This window comes from Homo sapiens, chromosome 12, assembly GCF_000001405.40.
Source record: "Homo sapiens chromosome 12, GRCh38.p14 Primary Assembly".
In the NCBI taxonomy this organism is placed as follows: Eukaryota; Metazoa; Chordata; class Mammalia; order Primates; family Hominidae; genus Homo; species Homo sapiens.
This window is the reverse complement of record NC_000012.12, coordinates 19,720,793-19,729,625: the sequence shown is the minus strand read 5'-3', so window position 1 is coordinate 19,729,625 and position 8,833 is coordinate 19,720,793. Positions and strand designations below refer to the sequence as shown.

General features: G+C 42.6%; 1 pseudogene, besides 1 other annotated feature; it reads right to left on the bottom strand.

Annotated features, from left to right (window-relative positions):
- Positions 2,603 to 3,103: an enhancer, noted in NCBI's record as "H3K4me1 hESC enhancer chr12:19879457-19879957 (GRCh37/hg19 assembly coordinates)". NCBI's record gives its function as "activates a minimal SCP1, AML or CMV promoter by ChIP-STARR-seq in naive H9 embryonic stem cells {active_cell/tissue: H9 hESC(naive)}" and the evidence as "EXISTENCE:reporter gene assay evidence [ECO:0000049][PMID:30033119]".
- Positions 5,027 to 5,191, bottom strand: RNU1-146P (RNA, U1 small nuclear 146, pseudogene; annotated as a pseudogene).

Sequence of the window (8,833 nt, the reverse complement as noted above, 5' to 3'; positions counted from 1 at the left end):
AAAATGGAAGAAAATTTTCGCAACCTACTCATCTGACAAAGGGTTAATATCCAGAATCTACAATGAACTCAAACCAATTTACAAGAAAAAAACAACCCCATCAAAAAGTGGGTGAAGGACATGAACAGACACTTCTCAAAAGAAGACATTTATGCAGCCAAAAGACACATGAAAAAATGCTCACCATCACTGGCCATCAGAGACATGCAAATCAAAACCACAATGAGATACCATGTCACACCAGTTAGAATGGCAATCATTAAAAAGTCAGGAAACAACAGGTGCTGGAGAGGATGTGGACAAATAGGAACACTTTTACACTGTTGGTGGGACTGTAAACTAGTTCAACCATTGTGGAAGTCAGTGTGGCGATTCCTCAGGGATCTAGAACTAGAAATACCATTTGACCCAGCCATCCCATTACTGGGTATATACCCAAAGGACTATAAATCATGCTGCTATAAAGACACATGCACATGTATGTTTATTGCGGCACTATTCACAATAGCAAAGACTTGGAACCAACCCAAATGTCCAACAATGATAGACTGGATTAAGAAAATGTGGCACATATACACCATGGAATACTATGCAGCCATAAAAAATGATGAGTTCATGTCCTTTGTAGGGACATGGATGAAATTGGAAATCACCATTCTCAGTAAACTATCTCAAGAACAAAAAACCAAACACCACATATTCTCACTCATAGGTGGGAATTGAACAATGAGAACACATGGAGACAGGAAGGGGAACATCACACTCTGGGGACTGTTGTGGGGTGGGGGGAGGGGGGAGGGATAGCATTGGGAGATATACCTAATGCTAGATGACGAGTTAGTGGGTGCAGCGCACCAGCATGGCACATATATACATATGTAACGAACCTGCACATTGTGCACATGTACCCTAAAACTTAAAGTATAATAATAATAATAATAATAAAGAGGAAAAAAAAAAAAAAAAGAAACGAGGTCTCACTATGTTGCCCAGGCTGGTCTTGAACTCCTGGGCTCAAGCAATCTGCCCACCCAGGCCTCCCAAAGTGCTGGGATTACAGGCATGAGCCACCACACCTGACGGATACTCCTATTTTATTCAGCAAATGTTTCAATCTCTTGCCATGTGCCAGCACTAAACCCTATATAAAACAGACTAGAAATATGAGGCAATATGTAGAATAAAGTGTTATAATTGCTACAATAGCATTAAGTACATGGTTCAAATAAAAGCAAAGGAGAAAACTGTCAAATTTATGAAATACAGGTAGCAATTTTACTATTGTAAAATATGTATTCATATTTATCCTTCAATGACTTTGAAAGTGTTTTTCATTTTAATATATTATGATTGAAGGATCAAGCGAATAGTCCAACCATTTTTCCAGTCTTGATTCTCCTTTTACTCTCAGTATGTCCTGATGTAACATAAAACACAGAACAGACATTCTTATTATGGTGTTTTATTATGTTTAACTTACATGAAATAGCATTAATTAAATTACTGGTATACAAAGCTATCATACCCTCCCTTTATGCCACATAACTATCACTTTGGGGGGTCTTGGGAATATTTGTCATGTTTGTGCAATCCAGCATCTTTTAAACATTCTTCTTATGTTGCAACATTTTTGCACATTCTCATTCTTGTCCCTTCATTGAAGAAACCAGAACCCCAGTCTTATTTGCAGCTGTATGAATGTATGTAATGCACCCACACCCAGGACTCCACATGTGACATTACAAAGCACATGTACTCTCTTTCACAGCAACAGAAGTATCTGGGTTTTCAAGATCAGCAGCCCCAGAATTTTGCACTCCAGGCCTCAGTACTATCAGTGGAATTTGCAGTGTCTAGGACAAAATGCAATGTCTGTGCTAGGTGGCAGCAGCATTGGTGTCTTTGCTGGAGTAGCCACCAAGGTCTGGTTTGGGCACCATTTCTGGCTTTGCAGTGGCTGAGCCAGATACCCTAAATCTATTGGCAATTCTTTAATGCCAAAGATGTGTATATTTTTAAATTTGATTTATTTTCTTTTTTATAATATTTTTTAAACTTTCTTTTTAGGTTAAGGGGTGCATGTTCAGGTTTGTTATATAAGTAAATTCATGTTACAAGGGTTTTGTTGTACAGATTATTTCATCACCCAGGTAATAAGCCTAGTACCCAAGAGTTATTTTTGCTGCTCCTCTCCCTCCTCTCACCCTCCCCAGTCAAGTAGGCCCCAGTGTCTGCTGTTCTCTTCTCTGTGTTCATGTGTTCTCATCATTTAGCTCCCACTTATAAGTGAGAACATATGATATTTGGTTTTCTGTTCCTGCATTAGTTTGCTAAGGATAATAGCATCCAGCTCCATCCAGCTTCCCACAAAAGACATGAATTTGTTCTGTTTTATGGCTGCATAGTATTCCATGGTGTATATGTACCACATTTTCTGTATCCAATCTGTCACCAATGGGCATTTAAGTTGATTCCATGTCTTTGCTATTGTGAACAGTGCTAAAATGAACATTCACATGCATGTATCTTTGTGATAGAAGGATTTATATTCCTTTGGTGTAATGGTGATGGCAGTGGTGGGCTGTCTGGAGTGGCAGCTGCCATCACAACAGCTGCAGCAGGGAAGCATGGTCAGGGCTGCGTGCTCCATGTAGCCATCGGGAGCCAGAGAAAAGAGGGAGCCTGGCCCCTTCTGAGTTGGGGCAGGTGCTCCCCAGGTACACTGCAGCCACCCAAGCTGCAGCTGTGGACCCTGACATCCCTGTGCTCTCAGGGCCCAGGAGCAGGCGGGAGGCCTACCCTTCTGGACTCAGCTGCAATCACCCAAGTCGTGGCTGCAGATCCAGGCCTCCCACTCCACAGAGCAGGCAGAAGCCCTGCCCTCCCAGGTGCATCTGCAGCTACCTAAGCTGTGGCTGTAGACCTGGGCCTCCCTGTGCTCTTGGCGGGGACAGAAGCAGGCAGGAGCCTCACACTTCCAAGTGCGGCTGCAGCTACCCAAGTTGTGGCTGCAAACCCAGGCCTCCCACACCATGAGGCAGACAGGAGCCCTGCACCCCCCGCCCCAGGCATGGCTGCAGCCACCCAAACAGCAGCTGTGAACCCAGGCCTCCCTGTGCTTTTGGGGCCCAGGAAGACCCACCCTGCCCTCACAGGCTCAGAAGTGCCTTCTGCCACTACCTGGCTTCTCCCTGCTGTTGGCACCCACTCTGATCTTGGAGCGAAGTCAGGGCTGAGCCCAGGCACTGTCACAGCCCAGCAAGATGTGCACATGCTCAGGGCAGTTCTGACTCACCAGCTCCCTGCTGTCTTGTCCCTCTCCAGACTTTGGGCACTGACAAGCATAGGAGGGAAGCCGAGGTGGGGGCTGAGGGCAGCTCAGCACTGGCCTGTAGGCGTCCCTTGGCTCGAAGATCCTGAAAAGCAGTGGGAGGCAGACAGGCTCCTGGGCAGAAGGAGGTGGGTTCCCAGTGAGGCTCCACCTTCAGGCCACGGGTGGGCCTGAAGACCCAGTCTTGCAGACCAGAGTAGAAACTTGTGGTGCCTTTTCCAGGTCTGCCCATGCCCACCCATGGACCAATCAGTACTCACTTATTCCCCTTTGAGGCCCATAAAAGCCCTGGGCTCAGCCAGAGGTGAGCAGATGTTGGGACAACCAGCTGCAGAGAGGAGCTACCCACTCCAGGGCCTCCTCTCTGCTGAGAGCTGCAGATGTCAGGACAACCTGCCTGCAGAAGGGAGCAACCCACTCCAGGGCCTCCTCTCTGTTGAGAGCTTCAGAGACAATGGGACAACCTGCCTGCTGAGATGAGCTTCCCACTACAAGGTCTACCCTCTGCTAGGAGCTAAACACTCACTGGGCCACCCTGGCTGTGGAAAGGAGCTACTCACTGCTGCTCTCCTCTGAGCTGTTCTATTGCTCAACAAAGCTCCTCTTCATCTTGTTCACCCTCCACTTATCTGTGTACCTCATTCTTCCTGGTCACAGGACAAGAACTCAGGACCTCTCAAATAGCGGGAATAAAAGAGCTGTAACACAAACAAAGCTGAAACATGCCCCTTGCTTACCATGTCATGGTTGAAGAGAAGGACAGAAGAGCTGCGGCCCTTCAGGGAGCCCAGACCTGGGAGCTCCCTGAGCCAGGGCTGTGACTCCCTCTTTGGGGCCCTGTGGTTCCTGGCATCTCCAAGCTTCTGGGTGCCACCATGTTTCCAGTGCCAGCGGTGGAAGTTGCTTGCAGTGCACCTGGTCCAGTCACAGCCTTGCAGAGAGCTGGAGCTGCCCATGCCAGCACCTGGAGTTGCCCACCCCACTGCAGTAGCTGCTGTCTGACTGCACAGTGCCCAAAACCCATGCTCACTCACAAACCCCTCACTGCTCCATGCCTGGCTTACCCTTGGCAGGGATGGGATCCAGGCCAGCAGCATAAGCCAAGCACAGCTTGCCAGGCTGAGTGGGCAGAACAAGCCCAGTGGGCTCAAGCAAAACTCAGGCAAAGGCACCACCAGCCACAGAGGTTTCTGGCCAGAAAAGCAGCACCCTAAAGATCCCATGACAATGGGATTGCTGGGTCAAATGATAGTTCCATTTTTAGCTCTTTGAGGAATCACCATACTGCTTTCCACAATGGCTGAACTAATTTACACTCCCACCAACAGTGTATAAGTGTTCCTTTTTCTCCACATCCATATTTTTTTATTTTTTATTAATAGCCATTCTGACTGGCATGAAATCTCATGGTGGTTTTGATTTGCATTTCTCTAATGATCAGTGATGTGGAGCTTTTTCTCATATGGTCATTGGCCACATGTATGTCTTCTTTTGAAAAGTGTCTGTTCATGTCCTTTGCCCACTTTTTAATGGGGTTGTTTTTCTCTTGTAAATTTAAGTTTCTTACAGATGCTGGATATTAGACGTTTGTTCAAAGCATAGTTTGCAAATATTTTCTCCCATTCTGTAGGTTGTCTGTTCACTCTGTTGATAGTTTCTTTCATTTTAATTATAAAAAATTATTTAACAATATACACAGGGAAAGCGCAAACACAGTCCCCCCACTACCACAAATTATGCAGTCAAGTTTCTTGCATTTGGGAAAATCACAGGGGCCAGTATACCCAGAGTGCAATAGGTGAGACTTACTCTGGGAAAACCACCTTTGTGATCACAGTATCTCCCGTGCTAGGTAAGTAAGGTAGTTTCCTTTGCTGTAACAGAAGCTCTTAAGTTTGATTAGATCCCATTTTTCAATTTTCGCTTTTCTTACAATTGCTTTTGGCATTTTTGTTATGAAATCTTTGCCCGTTCCTATGTCCAGGATGGTATTGCCTAGGTTGTCTCCCAGGGTTTTTACAGTTTTAGGTTTTACATTTAAGTCCTTAACCCTCTTGAGTTGATTTTGTATACAGTGTAAGGAAGGGGTCCAGCTTCAATCTTCTGCATATGGCTAGCCAGTTTTCCCAGCACCATTTATTGACTGGGGAGTCTTTTCCCCAATGCTTGTTTTTGTCAGTTTTGTTGAAAATCAAATGGTCGTAGGTGTGCGGCCTTATTTCTGGGCTCTCTATTCTGTTCCACTGGTCTATGTGCCTGTTTTTGTACCAGTAGCATGCTATTTCGGTTGCTGCATAGCTGAGCTAAGGTGGATTTATTGTTGGAAGCACTGACACACTTCCAATGGCTACAGACTATGGAAGGTGACACCCCCTCAAGGATATCTGACTCCAAACCCTCCTAACGATCACAGAGCAATACCCTTGGAGTACTCCACTTTCTACCCTTCAGGAATACAGACAATGCATGAGTAGTTCCTAGTTCTCTTAGCAGTTTGCCTTCCTACTTCTCCACCTGTGAAACACTTAGCTCCATAAGCACTGAGTCAGCTTTGGAAAAAGAGACTACCTTTCTTTGCTTCTGGATATGTACACCCTTTCATTTCCCTCCCTTTAAATCTAAGCATACCATACTATTAATTATCTAAAGTACTGTTTCTCTCTACTATTTTTCCTCTACCCTCTAAACCAGTTCTCTCTGCAGTATAAGGCATTTTTCAGTTCAACAGTCTCTGTTTTGATAGCCATGGTCTAAAATATTCTCAGAGTTTTAAAAGTCTTAGATATTTAAGCTTTCTCTTTTATTACTTAACAGACCTGATAATTTCATTTAGAGAGGAATTCCCACAGGGAAATTTTATTACATTTCCCCTAATAGATTTATCCTGTTGAAGCGTTTGTTCAGGTGTTCTACCCATTATTATAATAGATTCTACAAGTCTATTTGATATCTATTTGTTTTCTGTGGAATACTAGCTTTAATGGTTTACTTTTTGCATGGTATATAAAATTTTTTTAACACTTTAACATTTCCGTTTGCAAACAGAAGTCTCCACAGGTTGTCACTTTTTTATTTTTATTTTTTTATTATTTTTTTTTTTTGAGATGGAGTCTCACTCTGCTGCCCAGGCTGGAGTGCAGTGGCATGATCTCTGCTCAACTGCAACCTGCGTTCTCTGGGTTCAAACAATTCTCATGTCTTGGCCTCCTGAGTAGCTGGGATTACAGGCATGCACCACCACACCTGGCTATTTTTTGTATTTTTAATAGAAATGGGGTTTCATCATGTTGGCCAGGCTGGTTTCAAACTCCTGACCTCAAGTGATCCACCTGCCTCAACCTCCCAAAGTGCTAGGATTACACGTGTGAGCACCACACCTGGCCAGTTGTCACTTTTTATAAGCATATGTATGCATGTGCAGAAGCATACATATATACTCATTTTTGCTCTGAACTCCTGGAATTTATAATTCATCAAGACAAGACTAAAATTTGCTTTTCACACAACACATGAAAGGAGACATCACTGATCTGAGTGTAGTATAAAGAAAATGGAGGCAGGGGTTATATTAATTAAGAAAACAAATTATTCTCAAGTCCTTGAACAGCCTTCATTCATATAAAAAATACTACGTCAGCTCAGGCCAGTGGCATCTCATACCACATGGAGACTACGTGTGGGATTGTAAGAACTCATTTTGATACTCTGTATTAGGTATTATAATCTACCCACCACTTCATGGATATTTGGTCCAAAATTCTTGTGGACTGACAAACCTAATTACTTCTGCTTTTTTGTTTGATGTTGCTATACATTCAAATTGAGAGAGTACAATCTAGGAAAAAAATCAAGTGACACAGAAATTAAGCAGAATAGTAATGAAAGGATACACTCCTTCATTGGCCATAGGCACTCCCTTTCTTAAATGAAAGCTAAAAGTTGGATTTTAGAATGGAGGTAGAGATGACAAGTATTAAGAAGCATTAATCAAAGGGCACACAGATGATCTTAGCACTAACTCTTTATGTTTCTGATGTGAATCATAGGACAGTGTGATTTCCACTGTACACGGTGGAAAGGTAGGTGGGAAGGAATATTTTTCATCATCTACAAAAGTCAAAACTGATATTTGACCTCAGAACTATAAATGAGTAATAGAATTATGATATACCAAGGATTTTTCTAAGAAATTTACAAGTATGTCATTTAATCCTACAACAACACTAAAATATATCTTTATAATCCCATTTTAAAATGAGATATATAGAGGGTAAGTAACTTCCCCAAGGTCACACAGTAACACTGAATTTGGGACTCAAACTTAGAGAGCCTAAGCCCAGAGACTGCTTTATTTGATTTATGGTATTATCTCCCTACTTTTCCTCCTAGGTCCTTAAAATTGTTTGACATTATATATCATAGACTTCTAAGTGTATGATTGAAGGAGAGGGGAAGAAGAAGAGGGAAGAAGGGGAATGCATAGAAAAATATCTAGCATAAAGAAATTTTCCTCTTCTGGGCTTGAGTGATGCTATTACCCCAAGTACAAAATTGTGAACCAATTGTACTCAAATATTGGTAAATACAGATCCTGGCAAAATCTGCTTCCAGCTGTTCAAGCTAATTGCTTTTTATTTTTTGGACTGGCTTTTTCAGACATAAGTGATATTTTTAGCTGTGTTTTTCATTTGCATCATCAACTTAGATTGAAAAAGACGCTATTGCTTTAATAGTCAGCCAAATCTCAATAATTCACCGCGTGCTTCAACATAAAGTGTATTTCACCTGCAGTATATACAACTGAGAATTTCTAAATTGTGCTCACAAGGCTCATAAACTTCCCTGTGCCCAAATCAAAAACATGCACATGCACTTGACCCTTGGTAACCTCATGTTCTGCATGCGTGTTCTCTGCAGTTAATTTCCTGATGACTAGAGTCCATAAAGCGCAACTGTGAAGAAAGCACCTTGGTAAAACAGACTTCCTAAAGTAATGAAAACAGATCACTTCTAGGAGTGGAGTCCCATAGCATCATTAATTCCACAAGCAGGTATTGAGTGCCTACTTTGTAATACAGGACATGGAAATACTGCACGAATAAACCCAGAGCCTGTCATCAAGGGGCTCAGTCTAGTTTATAAACTAAACAAGAGAGTCAAATGTCATGATATGGTGATAAATATTATAATCAAGAAAGCAAAAGACATTGTGAGTCCAAAGGAGGTATTCAGATGAGAGATACAGGGAGTATATGAATCATATCTTGGGGTTAGATAGGGAAAGGCTTTCAAAATAAAGGGCACTTAAACCAGATTTCAAAGAGTAAGAAGAATTTAGCTAGAGTGAAGGGAACTCGAAGCTCAGAGAACATAATCAACAATAAATAGCCCTTAGAAAACTATGTCAAAACAGTAAACTACAGGTAGATTGGCGTATGAAATGATAATGTGCTTATGGAGGTGTGGGGAATGATAGAAATGGAAAGACACACCAAAGCACAA